Source organism: Homo sapiens, chromosome 2, assembly GCF_000001405.40.
Source record: "Homo sapiens chromosome 2, GRCh38.p14 Primary Assembly".
Classification (NCBI taxonomy): Eukaryota; Metazoa; Chordata; class Mammalia; order Primates; family Hominidae; genus Homo; species Homo sapiens.
The window spans coordinates 71178253-71201621 of NC_000002.12; the positions used below are offsets into that span (position 1 = coordinate 71178253).

At 41.8% G+C, this 23369-nt stretch overlaps 1 protein-coding gene across 4 annotated transcripts in view, besides 2 other annotated features; it reads right to left on the bottom strand.

Annotated features, from left to right (window-relative positions):
• Positions 1–4485: 4485 nt before the first annotated feature.
• The window catches only part of PAIP2B (poly(A) binding protein interacting protein 2B), a 44366-nt gene continuing 25482 nt past the window's right edge, over positions 4486–23369 (bottom strand). For all 4 annotated transcript variants that reach the window (NM_020459.1, XM_005264311.5, XM_005264310.5 and 1 more), the window contains 2 exons: positions 11593–11769; positions 4486–10283 (listed from right to left, as the gene is read on the bottom strand). In NM_020459.1, coding sequence (NP_065192.1) covers positions 10227–10283; positions 11593–11769 — 234 coding nt within the window. In that variant the 3' untranslated portion in view covers positions 4486–10226. The remainder of the gene's footprint in view (positions 10284–11592; positions 11770–23369) is intronic.
• Positions 5711–6212: an enhancer, noted in NCBI's record as "H3K4me1 hESC enhancer chr2:71411093-71411594 (GRCh37/hg19 assembly coordinates)". NCBI's record gives its function as "activates a minimal SCP1, AML or CMV promoter by ChIP-STARR-seq in primed H9 embryonic stem cells {active_cell/tissue: H9 hESC(primed)}" and the evidence as "EXISTENCE:reporter gene assay evidence [ECO:0000049][PMID:30033119]".
• Positions 6213–6712: an enhancer, noted in NCBI's record as "H3K4me1 hESC enhancer chr2:71411595-71412094 (GRCh37/hg19 assembly coordinates)". NCBI's record gives its function as "activates a minimal SCP1, AML or CMV promoter by ChIP-STARR-seq in primed H9 embryonic stem cells {active_cell/tissue: H9 hESC(primed)}" and the evidence as "EXISTENCE:reporter gene assay evidence [ECO:0000049][PMID:30033119]".

Sequence of the window (23369 nt, forward strand, 5' to 3'; positions counted from 1 at the left end):
CTCTCCTCTGCCTGTCCAGATCCTCTCTGTCCTTCAAAGACTCCTCATAAAGGCCATCCCTGATGATGGCTTCCAGGAGTAAGTCCTCTCCTCTGATAGCCCGCAGTGTTTAACTGTTTCACTTTATTCATTTATTCATCCCTATACCTACTCAAGTTATTGAGTACCTGTATTAGTCTGTTCTCACACTACTGTGAAGAAATACCTGAAACTGGGTAATATGTAAAGGAAACAGGTTTAATTGGCTCCTGGTTCTGCAGGCTATTCGGGAAGCATGGCTGGGGAGACCTCAGGAAACTTACAATCACGGCGGAAGGGAACAGCCTTAAAGGTTTTCTTCGGCGCTGACCCAGGGCAAAGAGATCCAGGCTCAGAATTTCTTCTCCAGCTTCACCCTGATGAAGCTGAGGCACTCCTCCGCTCTGGGTGGGGCCAGCCTAGGGGCCAGGCACATCGGGCACCTCCTCCCCATGGACTATAGCGCCAATGCCATTGCCTTCTATTCCTACACCTTTTCCTAGGGGGCTGGTCCCGGCTCCACCTACTCCAAGCTCAGTGGACACTGGGTCTGGAAGGAAGGAGTCTTTTGCTTCCTTTCTCCTTTTTACAAAAACAAACATAGAAGAAAATAAACGCACTTTATCCACTCCCCAATTGGACTGCATTATCAAACACAGGCGCTGTGTACATCCTCCGTGCACCTGCCAGCAGATATCCTGGAGGGCTCATGAGTGAATTTAGTCCAAGATTTAAAGCCCCGCCCCCAGGTGCTCGGCCTGTGATCTGCATCCACTCAGCATGCACTTGGGCAGATGATTTGTCTGTGTGCTACCCTTCCCCCCACACTACCATACATATGCACTGTGTGGCTGCCAGTTAATCTGTGACCTGTTTTCTCCTGTCGTGTCAAGTAGGTAACGATCCCTGGTGACCACAGTCACCAGAAACAAGTGTTCGCCATGCAGAACATCACAGAGAGTACCTTAGGCATATCACACCCTCTCCTGAGACTCCATAAGGGCTAGGGTACAATTCTAGACTGGGAGCATCTTTGCCTCACTGGATTTAGTAATTGCAGGTAAGCAGGACATTTTGAAGTTTCTCCTATGAATGAGTTGTTGAAAGGTTATGAGGATGGCTGAGATCCAAGAAAACCAACTAGATACCGCTCACCTCGGTGGCCGACCTATTCCTGGCTACTAGCCTGGCTCTGCTTACAGCGTGACACTATGTGTTGTGTGTCCCTGGGAATGAGGAGCATCAGTGAGGAGCAGACATGATTCCTGTCCTCTGGATACCATAGTTCAGCCAGTGAAGGCAAACCTGAAGCTTCGGTTCCACAGCCTGTGCTGCTTGGTGAAGACTAAGGACAGGAGTCTCGATCCACAATAGCTGCCTCTCCAGGTGTTTTATTAGAGGCATGTGGATCATGTCCTGCACATCAGTTCTCCAACTTACAGACATCAGTTATTCTAGAGTTTGTTTTAAAACAGGGTTTCTGTCTACTCCCCTCCCCTGCCCTAAGGTATCTGATGATAATAGGTTAAGGATGGGATGGGGAATTTTCATTTCTATTATACTAAACAGCTTGAGTAATTTCTGCTGCAGAGGTCCAGTATCTGCACTTGAGGGAGCTCTATGCTACAGCTGGTAAGTTCTGATTAGGCCTTCGAAGACATCTTGAATACTACCTTGTTGCCCAAGTCGGATGATGCTGTTCTTTCACAGTGTAGCATTCACGTAGAACAGAATAGTAACAGCTCTCCTCCCATCAGCTCTAGCCCAGTGCTGCAAGCTGGAGCTTTGAGCAATAAGAACTCCAGCCAGGTCTCTTCTGAAAGAACAGCCAGCCATCTTCACATCCAGCTATGACCAAATCACTGTGGTCTAGCACTCAGCAAGTCTCCAGTCCAGCACCTGGTAAAAAGCTTGCAGAGAGAACAAGGACACAGCAGAGGCATCTTTGCTATATCCCACAGTCTTGAAAAACTGTTAGGTTATTAATGAGTGGTGAGCTTTGGAGATTTTTAAAAATATGCTCTCAGGATGAGGATCAAACAGCATTTTGGTGAATATTTTATTCACCAAATGCTTTAAATATTATGTAAATATTTTATTTGCCAAATGCTTATAAATTGGAGTTTATAACTACTGAGATCTACTTATGTTCTTCAAAGTATGGTCATCACTTTTCCTTAGAATTGTCTAGACTGCAATTCCAATTGGACAGTGGAGGTTTTAGTGGAGGAGCACATCTTGACTTTTTTAGTCCCAGCATACGTGTTAAAAAAATGCTGAAAAAAGGCAGTATTAAAGTGCATAAGGTCAGATGTGTTCCTAGTTCCTGTCACATTTAGGAGATGTGATGAGGTCCCTTACTCCCCAGTTATTAAGCCTCTATTAGACAGGCTGCAGTGCAGAAAATCACAAGTGATTTTTAAAAATTTTATTTTACAGGCCCGGTGCGGTGGCTCATGCCTGTAATCCCAGCACTTTGGGAGGCCAAGGCAGGTGGATCACGAGGTCAGGAGTTTGAGACCAGCCTGGCCAACATGATGAAACCCCATCTCTACTAAAAATACAAAAAATTAGCTGGGCGTGGTGGCAGGCACCTGTAATCCCAACTACTCAGGAGGCCGAGGCAGGAGAATTGCTTGAACCCAGGAGGTAGAGGATGCAGTGAGCCGAGACCACGCCACTGCACTCCAGCCTGGGCAACAGAGTGAGACTCTGTCTCAAAAAAAAAAAAAAAAAATTTTTTTTTATTTTACAGGTAGGGTCTCACTTTTGCTTAGGCTAGAGTGCAGTGGCATGATCACAGCTCACTGCAGCTTTGAATTCCTGAGCTCAAGTGATCCTCCCACCTCAGCCTTCCAAGTAGCTGGGACTATAGGCATGTACCACCACGCCTGGCTAATTCTGTCATTTTTTTGTAGAGACAGGTCTTGCTATGTTGCCCAGGCTGGTCTCGAACTCCTGGCTTCAAGCAATCCTGCTGTCTTGGGCTCCCAAAGTGCTGGGATTATAGGTGTGAGCCACCATGCCCAGCCCATAAGTGATTTTTGCTGAGTTTCTCCCCCTTTAATTTTAAACTTAGTGTCCTTTCCCCAACAAACTATCAGGAGCTATCCATGGGATTTTGTATTACCAAGGCATTAGAGATGTATACATTCATCTCATCTGAGCCTGCAACAGCCCTGTGATGAGACAAGAGAACTTAGAACAAGCATTGGAATGAGGTTAGCACTGCCTTATCTCCCTGTGTGATCTCAGGGATAGTACAGCCTCATCTGTCCCATTCATTCGGCAAATATTTACTGAATGTCTTGTAGGTGTGATGAGTACTCTAGGGATTAAAAATAAGTACACGTTTTTCCCAGTAGTGAAAATTCATGGAACTGCACACAAAATATCTGTACCTTTCTGTAACATCATACTTCAACTAAGTTAATGAAATTTTATCTTTAATGTAATTTTTAAAATGAATACACCATCCACCTCTTCAAGAAAGTTACATTCTAATAAACTCTATATACACAAAACTACATATAACTATACTATTTTAAAAAGCTGTAAATAGGCAAGCTCAGAATACCCCAACCTCCACCCTCTGCTTTTAGGAAGGAGGCAAAGAAATGATAGGGCTCAGCAAAACCCATGGGCCCTAGGCTAGTCCCATATAATTTTTTAACCATATGATAAAGCCCCTCAAGAAATCACTGGGAGATTTGAGCAAGGTTTAAGTTGAAATAATTAGGCATCAGCAAACCATAATCACAACAGCAGGGACGTGGCTGCTGCTCCAAATCTGCCTAACGAAGGCAGCACAATCTTTAATACCTGTGCAGCTTTGTAAATGGAGACAGGATACTCTCTTTTGAAAGCTGAGATTCCCTGTCCAGTCTGGGGGAGGAAAAAATGGGCCTGGTAACCCTCATAGCCCCTGTCCCTAAGAGAATGCTTGACATGTAGCACACTCTCAAACTTGTTCAATAGTTGAAAGGCAGATACGGAATACTTGTTTTCTAGGTAGGTAGTCAGTTTTGCCCAGAAACTGGAAAACAAATGCCTAGTTTCCCTTCTAGCCCAAAGATGTCACTGCCTCTTTGTTCAAAGTTGGACATAACAATTGCCACTACTGGCGACCATGTATTAAGTGCCTATTATGTGCCAGGCAGTATTTTAAAAATCTGTCGTTATAGTTCCAGGGGACAGGTGCTGCACCTTTACAAATAGAGGTTATTTGTAAATAAAGTGCAGGCCAATGGCACAAAGTAGTGAAGGTGGGATTCACTCAGGTCTGTCACTTCCAAGCCCATGTTTTCTACTTTGCAACCCTATTTGAAAGGAAAACTGCAACTAAGATTATGACCCATGAGACAACTTATGTGTGAGACAAAAAGTTTCACACCTCCCCCCACCCCAAACACACACGGTATAACACAGTGACCCAACCTTAGGCAAAAGGGTACCACTGCCAGCAAATGCATTTAACATTTTATTGAGATTCTCAACAGCTGCCATTTGGTTTGTATAGCAAATTTTTTACAAAGTAACTTTTTTCCATTTTTGATATTTTTATGAAAATTATTTTCTTCAGTTTTAAAGCCCTGTCCCTCCCCCAAAGAAGGATTAATAACTACCAAGTAATGATTAGGGGAAAAAAAGCAAAAACAGCTTTATAAACACTTGTGAAACAGGGGTAAGTGTCCGAAGTCAAGACCTTCTGGGCCCAGTGGAGGTGCTGGGCTGCTCCGGGACACCATCACCACTTCACCATCCACAACATCCTCAAGAGCTGAGCAGCCCTGCACAGACCCTGGGGGGCTTCCTGTTCCACAAGCTCCACTCCCTTTTTCCTCTCCATCTTTGCTGTTGGGCCTCCCCTCCAAATCTGCCTAACAAAGGCAGCACGATCTTTAATGCCTGTGCAGCTTTGTAAGTGGAGCCAGGTTACTCTGTTTTGAAAGCTGAGATTCCCTGTCCAGTCTGGGGGAGGAAAAATTATCCAATGTAGCATGGATGGTTTCACTTTCTTGTCCACTCAGACACATGCTCATACTTATTAAATGGATTTATTGGATGCTTCAAAAGTCCTGATGTGTAGTAGCACAAAAGTTCCTTGTAAAAAAAGAAGTTGCAAAATTATAAAAATTTCTGCAGCAGTTCTGGCTCTGGATGACAAAGCTCATTCTGATTAGTAGTTTTTTTGACATGCACAGCAGCTTCCCCTATAAGTCCTACGTTCGGAGGGTTCCGTTTAGACAACAGGAAGTTGGAATCCAAGTTTAAAAGGCTCTCTGCTGACAAAATGTGGTACATCCATCAACAGAATTCTACTCAGCAATAAAAGGAACAAACTACCAAGACGTTATCTGTCATGGACAAACCTCAAAAACATTAGCTAAGTAAAAAAGCCAGACCCAAGGGACCACATATTGTATGATTCCATTGATTTGAACTGTCCAGAAAGGGCAAATTTATAGAGAAAGTAGATTAGTGGTTGCCGGGGGTAAGAACAGGATTAACTGTAAAAGAGCATGAAGGATCTTATTGGGAGGGATAAAAATGTTCTAAAACTGAGTAATAGTTACAGCTACACCACTGAGGGAAGTTACTAAAATCACTGAAATGTACACTTGAAATGGGTGTTTTATGATATGTAACATATGCCTCATTAAAGTTGTTTTAAGAAAAGGATTCCCTGCCTCCCAAACCATCCTTCAAGCATTAAACATTTTTGGAGGCTCATAATCAACAGGACAGAATAACTACTTAGTGATGATTTACAGAGTGAAATATTTTACTGTTTTGTAGTAAGCACATTTTAGTAACTGTACACTAGTACAATGTTTTTAAGATTTTATCTCATTTTTGTCATATTAGCCTAAAATGTTTATTTTTATTTAAAAAGTAGCCAATAGGAAGGTAAGATTGGGGAGAAAGCTCAGTAAATGTCACAAAAGAGACTCCTAGTAACACAATCTGAGGGAGCTTTTTCTTTTGAAATAAAGATGGTGCATCTGTCCCTTTACAGATTTCTCTCCTGTCCCCTGGGACTGGGGAAGGTGAATCTCCTGCCTGACACCTTGTAGAGATTAGTGTATCCAGCTATTCTATTGCCACGATGCCTCTAAAAACCAGACTGACTGGGAACAGCAGTAGGGGGTTGGCCAGTGAGGGCAGGTGACTAAGTGGTGTGCAGGAAACTCGCATGTTTCCCTGGGTTGGCTTCCTGCTCCCCTGTCCCTGTCACCAATAGCAGCTTCATTGTGAGAAGATTAAAACAAAGGAAAAAAACCCAAAAAAACTGTTTCCAAATTGTAACTAACCAAGTCTGTGTAGGAAATTCACAAGGCAGCAGAGCAGAGGCTGCAGAGGTGCTCTGTCTACCGGGAGAACTAATGATCCCTGTGAGCAATGCAGGGTGCAATGAGTCACATGGGGAAATGTGGACAGAGGCAGAAGGACATCAAGGCCCCCACTACACACCAAATTAGAGTCAATCCTCCTGTTCTCCCCACCCACTTCGCAAACTAATGACGTCCGCGTTATCCCAGAGGAGAGTGGCTAGGGACACTCAGTCCTTCCCAATTATGTGGACGTCTCCAAATCTTGGTCAAATCTGTCAGATTTCTAACAGTTTCAATACCTCAATATCACCTAAACTGAGAAAGATTATTAGCCCGTGATGGTGGGACCCTTATTGACGAAGGCCTGCCCCCTCCTCACAGTTGGGTAGATTCCTGGGTTCCTGATGGTTCAGGAGCCTGGGCTGTCATTTGTCTACCTGGGGTTTGCAGCAGCCCTAGTACAAGAAGATTCATTCGTGCTGTTTACTTTGGCAGCCTCTTCACACAACTTTCCTCTCTAACACGTGTTAATTATCAGAGTATTCACCTCACCTCCTTACTTCCCAGCTTCTCCAAAATCAAAGCAATAGTAATAAACAATTTGGAAAATGTTGCTTAGTATTTTAAGCCATGGTTAGCATTATAACCTTAATTAAAGAGACCCCAGGCTGGGGTGGCTCACCACACCCAGCCTATAATCCCAGCACTTTGGGAGGCTGAGATGGGAGAATCACTTGAGCACAACAATTCAAGAGTAGCTTGGGAAATAGAGCAAGATCCAGTCTCTACAAAAAATAAAAATAATAAAAATAATTAGCTGGCCGTGGTGGTGCGTACCTGTTGTCCCAGCTACTCGGGAGGCTAAGATGGGAGGATTGCTTGAGCCTAGGAATTTGATGCTGCAGTGAGCTATGGTCATACCACTGCACTCCAGCCTGGGTGACAGAGTGAGACTATGTCTCAAAAAAAAAGAAAAAAAAAAAAAAAAGAGGGACCCCAGCTGCTGTGACTTTGGAAACTAAAGGTGTTAACAAAGGTCAAGCCTTTCCTTAGGATCGTTTCTGGTTTCACCCTTATGTGATTCCCAAAACTCAACTATTATTGTCAGAAACTGGCCCAAAGACCCAGGGCTGCATTTGCCCAGGCCTAGGCTGTATCCTTGAATTTTCTGCTGCAGTTCAAAGGCCTGGAGAAACTGAAAATGCATTCATTTGGGTTTTTTCCCTTGAAAAGAAAGAGATAAATTATTTTCATCTTGGAATTTTAGAGTTGAATAAATAATCCCAATAATTACAGATCAATCACTAATAAACTAACATTGGGACCAGCCAGATTGGCAACTGTTAGAAATACATGTTCCATTTCTATACAAATTCTCAAACTTCTAGTTGCCAATTTAAAAAAGTTTAAACAAAGTAGTGGCTTAAATTCAACATCAAAATTACCCCTTATAAATACAAGTCTTACCATTAAAGGGTAAAGGTGTCCAGTCTGGCTTGCTGGTTCTTCTTCTGTGAGAAAAGTCACTGACAGCCAGAGGCTCCCAGCCTTTCCCCAGTGAAGGTCCAACAAGACACACATGCATTTTCTGCTAAGAAGGTAGCAAACTCTAACTAGCCTGTGTTGTGAGTGACAATTGTGCCCCTACCTCCCAACATAAATAGATGGCAAAAAGAGTTGGACTACAAGAGGAACCGCCGGAAGCAGAGTCCTATGCATTTAAAAAAGAATCAATTTGCTAGCTGCTTCCTATACCTGGAGTCAGTATGTTCAGTGTCTGAAGAAGACTAGAAATGCCAGCCCTCAGTGTCCATGCTAAACTGGCAGGAAGTTTTCATAGTCCTGAAGACTGACATCCAAAACAGACCAGCACAGCAGAAGGAAAGACAAGCTCCTTTCTCTCTGCAATCCCAACGCATTTCTAACAGCCTTCGGAATTCTGAGCTTGGACAGGCTCACGAGGATGAAGGAGGAAAAGCAGTCCCAGAAGGGAGAGATTTCCTCTATGCACTTGCAATGCCCTTTCCCTTTTAGAGGAAACAACCCAGCTGAAAGCTGAAGCTTGAATAAAGAAGTTTCTTTATTCATAGTCCTCTCTGAAAAAGAGTTAACAGTTTCATTCTCTCAACATAGAGGCTTTGGGAATTAATGTGTCTGTCTGGTAATGCAAGTTCTCTAAGCTACTCTCCTATGACATGTGACCTAACAAGGAAGGCAATTTTTTCAAATGATATAATCCTAAAGACTCAAATAGGAAAAAATGTGTATTTTAAATCTGGCATTAGCTTATCACTGTTCAAAAAGTCAACGAGAGCTCATAAGGAGAATTTCTTCAGCTTTCCATACCCTAGTCCTTTCCTTCCAACCTCTGTCCCACAGCCACATACTGAATTTATACCAACTTTGTTTCAAGTTACATATCTTTTCCCTATTAGGCCTATCACACAGCACAGTAGCAATCAGAAAGAAGCCACTATTATCTTCAGGGCTCTCCAATTCCTCATCCCTGGGAGAATGGCCTGGATGGCTCTCCTGTACCCCACACTGCCATCTACATCTCTATACACGAAGGTAGCTCCTGGCACCCAGTTTAGTTCCTTAGGGGTAGCAACAAAAGACCCCAGCAAGTTAAAGGCAGGAAAGACAAAGAAACACACCCTAAGAGGTCAATCTACAAAACTTGCAAAGCTGGGTATGTGGGAACAGTAAAATGTTTTAATAGCTGAAAAGATCCCAGAAGGTCAGGTACACAGTCACATGGGTCAAGCAGGACTCACTTTCCTAGGCTGATTTTGAGTTCCTTTCCATAATTCTGTAATGTGGGAAGAAATATCCAAACTGTGAACTGAGCTTCTTACTAGTGTCCTGAAAAATATTTCCTTAAAAAAGTGCATAAACTTGTCTGAGGGAATTAAGACACCAGGAAGACCAAGTGTTGATGAGGCTGGAAAAAAAAACTGTCCAAATAAAATTAAGACACAACAGATTCAAGGATGACTTCTGCAGGCTCATGCTAATTGCCAGCACAGCAGGCCTCCCCTATGCCTTTGGTAGCAGTATCTTTTCTTAAAAAGGAGGCTGGGGAATAGACTTCATGAAAGATGAGGTGGCAGATCAACCCTAGTGCTCTTCTACTTATAAATGGTGAGTCTGATGGTGGTGGTGAACACAGGCTTATGAACAGGACAACAGTAACTAAATGACTCAAGTGACAACCACCATCACAGCCCTACCTTCTGATTTACAACTTTCAACAATCATCAAAAGTTACTGTAAACTAAGTACTTTAAGTCTGTGTTTTCTTGAATGGGGTTCAGGACAAACAGGCAAGGGCTTGACAGCACATTGGTTATCCGAGTTCATTGCAGGAGACCCCGGGGGTGGGGCAGCTGAGCCTCAAATTCCAGTTTGCACCACCTGCTCTTTCTGCTTGTCCCTTTTCCCATCCAACTCAATAGATTCCACAAAAAGCTCTCCAGGTGCTCACTGTCCCTGATAAGTATACAGCAGGGTGAGAGGGGCATTTCCTAAATATCCAGTTTTTCTTAGTCAGCTTATTTTGTTTAAATACACACCGCGGAACACTTCTGATGAAGGGGGGAAAATGCAATTTCCTTAACTCGAAAGAGCTATTTAAAAAAACAAAACAGGAAACTCCCCAAACAAAAGTCAGCAGAACAAAATAGAAATACTCAGAGGCTTAGAATAAGACTGAGCATATTAGTTACTCAGAGTCACAGTATTGTGAGACCACCACTCCCCTTCCCGCTGTGCACCCCTCGCCCGCCCCATCCCCCTCTTCAGCTCCACCATTTTGTGCATTACTATCCCCAGATGTGGGGACAGACAAGTCTTCCTCAAAGCTTTCTCGGCTCAGTACTTCTCTCCTGGAATAAACTCCTTGGCATCTGGGTTCAGGTTACTTTTGCTCTGAAATAAGAACCAAGAGATAGTAAATCCTAAGGCAAGCTGCATTTTAAAACTTACCCAGTCCATCATTATCAGTACCTTCCCCTTAGCTTTAGGGAGAGAAAGAAAATTCCTTGTAACTCAGGCTGTTATTGCTAGGTTATCTCAACTGCACCTGACATAGCCCTGAGCAAGCTCATCTTCTCCTTCCTTCTTTGGACTCTTGTTTCCTTCCTGATGCTTTCCAAAATCTCATCAGAGGCCTGTAAGTTCAACTCCAAGAATAATTTTTCAATTCACTGAGTACCTTAACTTGGTGAAAACCAGGGTACTCCATCAGACCAGGCTGGATACCACAATCTCTATTTTTCTTCATCTTTCTGTACTCTCTTTGGTTCTCTACTCTCTTGTGAATATCCAAAACCTTAGCAAACCACAGGGCAAGATTGTTCAGAATATGAGTTGTATGAAAACTATATTGCTCACAGACTTTTTTTTTTTTTTTTTTTTTGAGACAGTCTTGCTCTGTTGCCCAGGCTGGAGTGCAGTGGTGCAATCTTGGCTCACTGCAAACTCCGCCTCCCTCTGCCTCCCAGGTTCAAGCAATTCTCCTGCTTTAGCCTTCCAAGCTGGGACTACAGGCGCGCACCACCATGCCTGGCTAATTTTTGTATTTTTTTAGTAGATATGGGGTTTCCATGTTGGCCAGGCTGGTCTTGAACTCCAGACCTCAGGTGATCCACCCGCCTCAGCCTCCCAAAGTGCTGGGATTACAGGCGTGAGCCACCGTGCCCAGCCTGCTCACAGACTTCTGATGTTACATAAATATGAAAGGCAGGAAATTAATTTATCTGGTTTTCTAATTCTAAGTGGAGAAAATGACCTCTCAGGAGTACATTTCTTCCAAAATGAACAGCTAATTTTTATAACAGAATCATTTAGAAGTATATTAAATACAGATTTGAGGGACAGTAAAAGAGAAGAATAGCAACAAATGATATTTGAGAAGAAACTTCTTCAGTGTTCAAATTGTTATCCTTAATCCCAATTCTACTTTGAAGAGCCCATTAGAAAGTAAAGGTTGGTGGCGTCCAATCTTGGCAAGTAAAAAGCCCGTGATGCTGGCAACAGTAATGTTTTATAGTGCTTTATGAGGAGCAATGCATCTTTAATGCACCCCTTATTAATAATGCCCATAAAACGAGCAAAGAAACAACAGCTCACAGGGCTCCAGACTTGTTGAGGGTTGTAGGGCTGGAAAGAAAGTCTGTCATTCCAAATCCTATATTCTTTTCACTACATAACCTGGGGAACTACATATGGCTCTTACCAAAATATCTTCAGAATCATGACCTTCACTGACTGACAGTCCATTTAACTGCTGTTGCAACTGTCCCATGGCCTGAGGCAGGTCTCGTGAGGGAATAAACCAGTCTTGGTCTTCTTCATCCAGCATCTCTTGGAAGCAGCGGTCCAAGAAGTCTTGCTCCTGCAGTTCCTCCTCCACCTAGCAAGCAAAGGGGAGCAGCTCAGACTTACTGTCACAGCAAGACTTACCCCTTCCAGTTTTTCCTCCACCTCTTTCCTTCAGAAGGTATTACTCTGCAATTAAGAATGATCTTGAGCTGGGTGTGGTGGCTCACAACTGTAATCCCAGCAGTTTGGGAGACTGAGGCAGGAGGATTGCTTGAGGCCAGGAGGTTTGAGACCAGCCTGAGCAACATAGCATGACCCTGCCTCTACAAAAAAAATTTTAAAATTAGCCAGGCCATAGTGGTGTGTGCCTGTAGTCTCAGCTACTTGGGAGACTGAGGCTGGAGGACAACTTGAATGCAGGAGGTCAAGGCTTCATTGAGCCAAGACTGCGCCACTGCACTTCAGTCTGGGCGACAGAATGAGACCCCGATTCTTTAAAAAATAAAAATATATTTAAAAAAAAGATTTTATGATCTTACATGAGGTCCAAGGGATCTAAGGATTCAATGCGCCTAATGACTAGCTAGAGATAGCATAATTTTTATTTTTTCTCAACCAAATTCTATCACTAATAAGACTAAGAAAATAGTTATTCACAGTAACAGAAATTCAAGGTCTCCGCAGATGTTCTACGATCTCTAATAGGTGATACAGATATCATGGAAAATCATTTTAGAGCCTAAAATTCTTTTCTCAGTCTTGTTACAAAGTAACCCTTCTTAAATTTCCCATTTTATAAGAAATATGAAAAAGATACTGCAAGTATATAACTAGTTCATGACCTGGCTAGTGGAGATAAAATCAAAGCCAATGCTCTCAGCTTCTGGCCATTTTTTGGGTAAGGAAACCCTCAAGGGAGAAAAATACTTTCAGAACATTAGGAAGACATAAAGAACACTTTTTGGCATACCAATAGAAAATTACATAATCAATGTAGTATTCTTTCAAAAGATGAAATATATGAATATTCAAACAATTCTGCATTTCTTAAACATTGCCCTAAACTAAAGCAATATATATCTAGGATATTTTACACTGCTTTGCAGACATTGTTAACTCTTAGTATAGAGTGTGGTTCACTCTGCAGATTTCAGTGTCTTTGATAGGCCTCTTGCTTCATGTTTGGCATCCCTTTCCTGCAGGCTGCCTGGTGACAGATTCACAGCTCACTAGCACCACCACCAGAAATGAGGTCAAGCAAAAAATAATTTCCCAAATTGGAATATACAGTTACCTAATTAATTCAGAGGAAAAGTTACTGGTAGTGAGACTTAAGAATAGTATTTGAACACTACAATTAGCCACACGTGAAAACTAGACAGTTATGAAGTGCTTAATAAAATATTCTCATGCCACAAGATGTAACATGACCATTTGAGAGCTGCCCTGACTCTATGAGAGCATAACAGCATGCTAGCTCTTATTAAATTTACCCCTGTTCACTGGCACAACCAATGAAAATGGTTGCTGGGCACAGAGGTGTAACAGAAACATGCTACGTGCAATTCACACAGATCCCGACAGAGCCACATTAGGTGGAAATTGCTGTCTGTCCCCTTTAAACTTGTTTCCTTCTTCCCAGAGCACCAGGCTGTTCAGTTAAAATCACATTTGTCACCTTACATGCTGTATATGGCCAAGTGACTATTCATCACAAAATGTTCCCACAAGGGACATGGACACTTTGGCATCCCTTGGTTAAAAGAAGACCCCTTGCCATGGCCTTTGGTGCTCTCCCTTTCCCAGCTGCTGGACTTCCCAGTTTTCCCTCAGCCACGCAGCTGATATATGCCCTGGGGGTGGCAGAGCAATACCGTGGAAGGGACCAAGTGGGCACCAGATCACTTGTCTATCCAGAATGCTTACCTTGGACTGTTAACCTCACAGATATAAAACAATGCGTTACTGCTGAATCTTTGCTGAAGTAGTCTAGCCAACCCTCACCTCATGTACTTCTCTATTTCAGACTCACATCCTGCCAATCCCGAGTTCCCATTTGAGGCATGCCATGCTGACCTGTCTGCATATAGCTGCTGTTTCCCACAAATCTACACCCAATAACACAGGGCATTAGACCAAAACAACTTCCTTTCATAAAATAAATTTCCTCACCTTTTCCCATTAACACAAATTTTCCATGAAAACACTGCAAAAGGAGAGCAGAAACTAGATTTTTAGGAACTGGACTTAACCACATATGATTAATGAAAAATATTATATATGGGCACACGTTTTATTGCATTTTGCTGTATTTTGCTTCATAGATACTGCATTTTTTTTTTTTTTTTTACAAATTGAAGGTTTGTGGCAACCTTGCATCAAGCAAGCCTATTGGCGCCTTTTTATCAACAGCATGTGCTCAATGTCTGTGTCACATTTTGGTAATTCTCTCAATTTTTCAAACTTTTTCATTATTATTATATCTGTTATAGTGCTCTGTAATCAGTAATCTTTGATGTTACTTTTTTTTTAATTTTAGGTTTGAAGTACACGTGAAGGTTACATAAACACATGTCACAGGGGTTTGTTGTACATATTATCATATCACCAGGTATTAAGCTCAGTACCCAATAGTTACCTATTCTGCTCCTCTCTCTCCTCCCACCCACCCCCGTCAAGTAGACCCCAGTGTCTGTTGTTCCTTGTGTTCATAAATTCTTATCATTTAGCTCCTACTTATAAGTGAGAACATGTAGTGTTTGGTTTCCTGTTCCTGTGTTAGTTTGCTAAGGATGATAGCCTGCAACTCCATCCATGTTCCTGCAAAGGACATAATCTCATTATTTTTTATGGCTGCGTAATATTCCATGGTGTATATGTACCACATTTTCTTTATCCAGTCTGTCACTGATAAATGGGCATTTAGTTGATTCCATGTCTTTGCTATTGTGAACAGTGCTGCAATGAACATTTGTGTACATGTGTCTTTATGGTAGAATGCTTTACATTCCTCTGGGTCTACAACCAGTAATGGGATTGCTGGGTTGAATTGTAGTTTTAGCTCTTTGAGGAATCGCCATACTGCTTTCCACAATGGCTGAAGTAATTTACACTCCTACCAACATTGTATAAGCCTTCCCTTTTCTCCACAACCTCACCAGCACGTGTTTTTTCTTTTTTTTTACTTTTTAGTCATAGCCATTCTGACTGGTGTGAAATTGTATCTCATGGTGGTTTTGACTCGCATTTCTCTAATGATCAGTGATATTGAGCTTTTTTTCATATGCTTGTTGGCCGTATGTATGTCTTCCTTTTGAGAGGTGTCTGTTCATGTCCTTTGCCCACTTTTTAATGGGGTTGTTTTTCTCTTGTAAATTTAAGTTCCTTATAGATGCTTGATATCAGACCTTTGTCATATGCATAGTATGCAAATATTTCCTCCCTTTCTGTAGGTTGTCTGTTTACTCTGTTGATAGTTTCTTTTGCTGTACAGAAGTTCTTAAGTTATTTAGATCTCATTTGTCAATTTTGGCTTTTGTTGCAATTGCTTTTGGTGTCTTCGCCATTAAATCTTTGACCATTCCTATGTCCAGGATGGTATTGCCTAGGTTGTCTTCCAGGGTTTTTATAGTTTTGGGTTTTAGCCAGGTGCAGTGGCTCCGCCTGTAATCCCAGCACTTTAGGAGGCTGAGGCAGGCAGATCATGAGGTTAGTAGACTGAGACCATCCTGGCTAACACGGTGAAACCCCTTCTCTGCTAAATAATACAAAAAATTAGCCGGGTGTGGTGGCAGGCACCTGTAGTCCCAGCTACTCTGGAGGCTGAGGCAGGAGAATGGCGAGAATCCGGGAGGCGGAGCTTGCAGTGAGTACTCCAGCCTGGGCTACAGAGCAAGACTCTGTCCCAAAAAAAAAAAAAGTTTTGGGTTTTACATTTGTCTTTAATCCATCTTGAGTTTATTTTTGTATATGGTGTAAGGAAGGGGTCCAGCTTCAAACTTCTGCATATGGCTAGCCGGTTATCCCAGCACCATTTATTAAACAGGGAGTCTTTTCCCTAGTGCTTGTTTTTGTCAGCTTTGTCAAAGATCAGATGTAGATGTGTGGTCTCATTTCTGGGGTCTCTGTTCTGTTCCACTGGTTTATGTGCCTGCTTTTGTACCAGTACCATGCTATTTTGGTCACTGTAGACTTGCAGTATAGTTTGAAGTCAGGTAACGTGATGCCCTCAGCTTTGTTCTTTTTACTTATGATTGCCTTGGCTATTCGTGCACTTTTTAGGTTCCATATAAATTTTGAAATATTTTTTTCTAGTTTTGTGAAGAATGTCATTGGTAGTTTGATAGGAATAGCATTGAATCTGTAAACTGCTTTGGGCAGTATAGCCATTTTAATGATATTGATTCTTCCTATCCATGAGCATGGGATGTTTTTCCATTTGTTTGCATCTTCTCTGATTTGTTTGAGCAGTGTTTTGAAATTCTCATTGTAGAGATCTTTTACCTCCCTGGTTAGCTGTATTCCTAGGTTGTGTGTGTGTGTGTGTGTGTGTGTGTGTGTGTGGCAACTGTGAATGGGATTGCCTTTCTGATTTGGCTCTCAGTTTGGTGGTTGTTGGTGTATAGGAATGCTAGTGATTTTTGTACATTGATTTTGTATTCTGCAACTTTGCTGAAGTTATTTATCAGCTAAAGGAGCTTTTGGGCTGAGACTACGGAGTTTTCTAGATATAGAATCATGTTGTCTGCAAACAGATATAGTATGACTTCCTCTCTTCCTATTTGGATGCCCTTTATCTTGCCTGATTGCTCCAGCTAGGACTTCCAATACTATGTTGAATGTAAGTGGTGAGAGAGGGCATCCTTGTCTTGTACCGGTTTTCAAGGGGAATGCTTCCAGCTTTGGCTCATTCAGTATAACGTTGGCTGTGGGTTTGTCATAGATGACTCTTATTATTTTGAGGTATATTCCTTCAATACCTAGTTTATTGAGAGTTTTAAACATGAAGCAATGTTGAATTTTATCAAAAGACTTTTCTGCTTCTATTGAGATAATCATGTGGCTTTTATCTTTAATTCTGTTTACATGATGAATCACATTTATTGATGTTTGCATGTTGAACCAACCTGGCATCCCGGGGATGAAGCCTACTTAATCATTGTGGATTAGCTTTTTGATGTGCTGCTGGATTTGGTTTGCAAGTATTTTGTTGAGGATTCAATGTTCATCAAGGATATTTCCCTGAAGTTTTCTTGTTTTGTTGTGTCTCTACTAGGTTTTGGTATCAGGATGATGCTGGCCTTGTAGAATGAGTTGGGGAGAAATCCCTCCTCCTCAATTTTTTAGAATAGTTTCTGTAGGAATGGTACCAGCTCTTCTTTGTATGTCTGGTAGAATTTGGCTGTGAGTCCATCATGTCCTGGGCTTTTTTGGTTGGTAAGCTATTTATTACTGATACAATTTCAGAGCTCATTATTAGTCAGTTCAGGGAATCAATTTCTTCCTAGCTCAGTCTTGGGAGGGTTTATGTGTCCAGGAATTTATCCATTTCTCCTAGGTTTTCTAGTTCATGTGTGTAGTGCTTGTAGTAGTTTTTGATGGTTGTTTTATTTCTGTGGGGTCAGTAGTAACATTCCCTTTGTCATTTCTAATTGTGTTTATTTGGATCTTCTCTATTTTCTTCTTAATTACTGCAGCTACTAGCCTATTTCATTAGTTTTTTTCTTGAGATGAAGTCTCGCTCTGTCACCCAGGCTGGAGTGCAGTGGTGCAATCTCAGCTCCCTGCAACATCTGCCTCCTGGGTTCATGCATTCTCCTGCCTCAGCCTCCCATGCAGCTGGGATTACAGGCACATGCCACCATGCCTGGCTAATTTTTGCATTTTTAGTAGAGATGGGTTTCACCATGTTGGCCAGGCTGGTCTCAAACTCCTGACCTCAAGTGATCTGCCCACCTCAGCCTCCCTAAGTGCTGGGACTATAGGCATGAGCCACCACGCCTGGCCTATTTCATTAACTTTTTTCAAAAAACCAACTCCTGGATTCGCTGATCTCTTAAATGGTTTTTCATGTCTCAGTTTTCTTCAGTTCATCTCTGATTTTTGTTATTTCTCGTCTTCTGCTAGCTTTGGGGTTGATTTGCTCTTGCTTGTCTAATTCTTTCAGTTGTGATGTTAGGTTGTTAATTTGAGATCTTTTATCACTTTGTGAGGTGGGCATTTAGTGCTATGAATTTCCCTCTTAACACTGCCTTAGCTATGTTCCAGAGATTCTGGTATGTTGTATCTTTGTTCTCCTTATTTTCAAATAACTTGATTTCTGCCTCAATTTCATTATTTACCTGAAAGTCATTCAGGAGTATGTTGTCTAATTTCCATGTAATTGTATGGTTTTATTTTCATTGTGTTGACTTCTATTTTTATTGTGCTGTGGTCCAAGAGTGTGTTTGGTATGATTTCGGTTCTTTTACACTTGTTGAGGATTGTTTTATGTCCAATTATGTGGTCAATTTTAAAGTGTGTACCATGTGGCAATGAGATTAATGTACACTCTGTTGTTTTTGGGTGGAGACTTCTGTAAAGGTCTAGCAGACCCATTTGTTCCAATGGTGAATTTAGGTCCTGTATATCTTAGTTAATTTTCTGCTTCAATGATCTAATATTGTCAGTGGAGTATAGAAGTCTCACATTATTAATATTATGTGGCTGTCTATGTCTTTTTGCACCCAGATTCATAAAGAACTTGCTTTATGAATCTGGGTGCTCCTATGTTGTGTGCATATGTATTTAGGAAAGTTAGGTCTTCTTGCTGAATTGAACCCTTTACCATTATGTAATGTCCTTCCCTTGTCTTTTTTTATCTTTGTTGGTTTAAAATCTGTTTTGTCTGAAATTAGGATTGCAACCCCTGCTTTTTTCTGTTTTCCATTTGCTTGGTAGATTTCTCTCCATCCCTTTATTTTGAGCCTATGAGTGTCATTATGTGTGAGATGGGTTTCTTGAAGACAGCATGCTATTGGGTCTTGCTTTTTTACCCAGCTTGCCACTCTGTGCCTTTTAAGTGAGGCATTTAGCTCATTTACATTCAATGTTGGTATTGATATGTGTGGATTTGATCCTGTCATTGTGCTGTTTGCTGGTTATTATGTTGGCCTGTTTGTGTGGTTGTTTTACAGTGACACTGGTCTGTGTGGTTAAGTGGGTTTTTGTATTAGCTGGTAGTGGTCTTTCCTTTCTATATTTAGTGCTCTTTTCAAGGTCTCCTGTAAGGCAAGTTTAGTAGTAATGAAGTCCCTCAACATTTGCTTATCTGAAAAGGATCTTATTTTTCCTTCATTTAAGAAACTTAGTTTGGCTGGATATAAATTCTTGGTTGAAGATTTTTTTACTCTAAGAATGTTAAATATAGTCCCCCAGTCTCTTCTGGCTTATAGGGTTTCAGCCAAGAGGTCTGCTGTTAGCCTGATAGGGATCTCTTTGTAGGTGACCTACCCTTTCTCTCTAGCTGTCTTTAATATTCTTTCATTTTGACCTTGGAAAGTCTGATGATTATGTGTCTTGGGAATGATCTTCTTGTGTGGAATCTTGCAGGAGTTCTCTGTATTTTCTGAATTTGACTGTTGGACTCTCTAACATGGTTGGGGAAGTTTTCATGGATGGTATCCTTGTATTAGTCTGTTTTCACACTGCTGATAAAGACATATCCAAGACTGGGCAATTTAAAAAAGAAGGAGGTTTACTGAACTTATAGTTTCATGTGGCTGGGGAGGCCTCACAATTATGGCAGAAGGTAAAAGGTAAGGAGGAGCAAGTCACATCTTACATGGATGGCGGCAAGCAAAGAGAGAGAGCTTGTGCAGGAAAACTCCCGTTTTTAAAACCATCAAATCTCGTGAGACCAATTCACTATCATGAGAACAGCAAGGAAAGACTCACCCTCATAATTCAGTCATCTCCCACCAGGTCCCTCCCACAACACATGGGAATTATGGGAGCTACAAGATGAGATTTGGGTGGTGACACAGAGCCAAACCATATCAATCCTGAAATATATCTTTCAAGTTATTTACTTTGTTCCCCTCCCTTTCAGGGATGCCAGTGATACATAGATTTGTCCTCTTTACATAATCCCATACTTCTTGGAGGTTTTTGTTCATTCCTTTCTATTCTTCTTGCTTTATTTTTGACTGTCTTATTTAATTTTTTTGAGATGCAGTTTCACACTTGTTGCCCAGGTTAGAGTGCAGTGATGTGATCTCAGCTCACTGCAACCTCCACTTCCCAGATTCAAGAGATTCTCCTGCCTCAGCCTCCCGAGTAGCTGGGATACAGGTGCCTGCCACCAGGCCCAGCTAATTTTTTTTTTTTTTTTTTGAGACAGAGTCTCGCTCTGTCGCCCAGGCTGGAGTGCAGTGGCGCGATCTCGGCTCACTGCAAGCTCCGCCTCCTGGGTTCACACCATTCTCCTGCCTCAGCCTCCCGAGTAGCTGGGACTACAGGCGCCCGCTACCACGCCCGGCTAATTTTTTGTATTTTTAGTAGAGACGGGGTTTCACCGTGTTAGCCAGGATGGTCTCGATCTCCTGACCTCGTGATCCGCCCACCTCGGCCTCCCAAAGTGCTGGGATTACAGGCGTGAGCCACCGCGCCCAGCCGCTAATTTTTGTATTTTTAGTAGAGATGGGGTTTCATCATGTTGGCCAGGCTGGTCTCTGACTCCTGACCTTAGGTGATCCCCGCCTCAGCCTCCCAAAGTCCTGGGATTACAGGTGTGAGCCACCATGCCTGGCCTGTCTTATTTTAGAGAACCAGTCTTCAAGTTCTGAGATTCTTTCCTCAGCTTGGTTTATTCTGCTGTTAATACTTGTGATTGCATTGTGAAATTCTTGTGTTATTCAGCTCTGTCAAACCTGTTAGGTTCTTTTTTTATACTGCCTATTTTGTCTTTCAGCTCCTGTATCACTTTACTATGATTTTTATTTTCCTTGGACTGGGTTTTGCCATCCTCCTGAATCTTGATGATCTTTGTTCCTATTCATATTCTGAACACTGTGGAAATGACAACGAAGGATTTAGAATATTACATAATCAACTTAGTTGATAAAGCAGTAGCAGGGTTTGAGAGAACTGTTTTTTCCCTTCAATTTCCACTTTATCCAGTACTTATATTGCTTTGTGTTTGAAATTTCCTGATATTTTCTATCTTCATTATTTTGTTTTCCTTTTCTGAAGCATTTTAATTCAGATGTTTCTCTTTTAGGTTCTTTACATGTGAACCTGTTTCCCTTATTGTGGAAGTAATCCATTTTCTTTGCATATGAGTTGGGAAATCAGAACTAAGAAAACCAAATTGGAAGGGAAAAAAAGCCCCCTTAATCTCAACACTCACACATAATGAATATTGTTGACATTTCAGAATATATCTACCCTGATTTTTACTTAATAGACACCCAACGGGAAAATGACAGAAGCTTAGAGTAAAAAAAAAAAAAAAATCTAGTTAGAAATGACCCATAAGATTTTACAATTCACTAAGCATTTTCCATCTTTTTCTGTGGCCTGAATAGCCAGTGAGAGTGTATGTTCCAAGTTGCATATAATTACACTTCTCCCTTTTTTTCCCCCTTAACCCAACTGCGTCCTTTTTTTTTTTTTGAGACGGAGTCTTACTCTGTCGCCCAGGCTGGAGTGCAGTGGCGCGATCTCAGCTCACCGCAAGCTCCGCCTCCTGGGTTCACGCCATTCTCCTGCCTCAGCCTCCCAAGTAGCTGGGACTAAAGGCGCCCACCACCTATCTTCTCTCTTAAAAATTCTAGCCAGGCACTGTGACACATGCCTGTAGTCACAGCTAATCAAGAGGCTGTAGTGAGAGGACCACTTGTGCCTAGGGGTTCAAGTCCAGCCTGGGCAACATAGCAAGACCCCATTTCTTAAAAAGTTTTGTATGTGTGTGGGTGTTGGAGGATATAAGCCATTCACAATTATAACTAGTATGTTAGGTCTTACTTCTTCTTTCCTGAGTTACTTTAAAATAAAAGTCCCACTACTTTTCTTGAGACTTAATCCTTTTTCCCCCAAAACTACATTTCAATCTGCTTCTATCAGCCTCACAGTCAATGAAAATCTTTTCAAAAGACCAATGAATGTCACTCCGAGTTTGGGGGGTTGTAAGCTGTTTTCATCTTATTCTATGTTTTGTTAGATATTTTATTAGAAAGTCAGAAGACATTGTATCAGGGTTGCTAGCTAGAAACCAGTTTCTACTCCTTAAGATCCAACTCAAGGTACATGGTATGCAAAACCACTTCTGAATTACCATGAAAACTATGCTAGTAATGGAATGGGGGTTGGCAGTGGTAAAAACTGTACAGCACACCATAGTGTAACAGAGTAATATACAGGTGTTCAGAAAGAACTGACATCAATCATATCCCAGATTCCTAAACCCTCCTGCTCCCAAATGAAGGATAAAGAAGGCTTCTCCGAAATACTTACTCCTATGACCTGAAATCATATAACAGTTTCAAAATTATGTTGCCAGGCCAGGCACGGTGGCTCACGCCTGTAATCCCAGCACTTTGGGAGGCTGAGACAGGCAGATCACTTGAGGCCAGGAGTTTAAGACCAGCCTAGCCAACATGGCGAAACCCCATCTCTACTAAAAATGCAAAAATTTGCCAGGGATGGTGACACATGCCTGTAGTCCCAGCTACTCAGGAGGCTAAGGCAAGACAATGGTTTGAGCCTGGACTGTGGAGGTTGCAGTGAGCCGAGATTGAGCCACTGCACTCCCGCCTGGGTTACAGAGTGAGACTCCACCTCCACAAACAAACAAACAAAAAACAACAAAAAAACCCAAAATTATGTTGCCAAGCTAGTATTACCTGTAAAACATTAGGGTTGGGGGAATTTGAGCAAACAATTGTTTATCTGCTCAGCCCTTCTTAAGGCCTGGTATTTACTGCAATATTGGAAGCTGCCATGCATATATCTGTCATTGCTTACCTAGATCTCCAGAAAAAAAGTTACAATTTTTAAAGCTTCTCAACTGTCTTTCCTCAATCTCTTTGTGTGTGTGGGTGTGTGTGTGTGTGTGTGTGTGTGTGTGTGTGTGTGAATGTGTATGTGTGTTTCTGCAAGCCCCTAGCTTTCCAGCACTTTTCCATGTACCTTGTCTCTGAGTTTGCTAAACTCTTGAATGTAGGAGTGCACAGCTGACCCACAGCTCAGACATCTGGCTTCTAATAGCCCTGGTGCAATCCTGATCACTGGGGTTAAGAGCATGTCAGTGAGTGTTAACAAAGCTAGTGAAAATTGTTTTATGTTTTCAACAACATATATTTCATTCAGAGGCTGGATAAAGGAAGAGTGAAACCATTAGGTCAACAAAAATGCCAAACACGACTGTTCTAAAATCCCATGGAAAACATATTTACCTTCAGTGAGAGTTCTTAATCTTTTTTTTTTTTTTTGAGACAGAGTCTTGCTCTGTAGCCCAGGCTGGAGTGCAGTGGTGCGATTGGCTCACTGCAACCTCCACCTATTGGTTTAAGCAATTCTTGTGCCTCAGCCTCCCAAGTAGCTGGGATTATAGGAGGGTGCCACCATGCCCAGCTAATTTTTGTATTTTTAGTAGAGATGAGGTTTTACCATGTTGGCCAGGCAGGTCTTGAACTCCTGACTTCAAGTGAT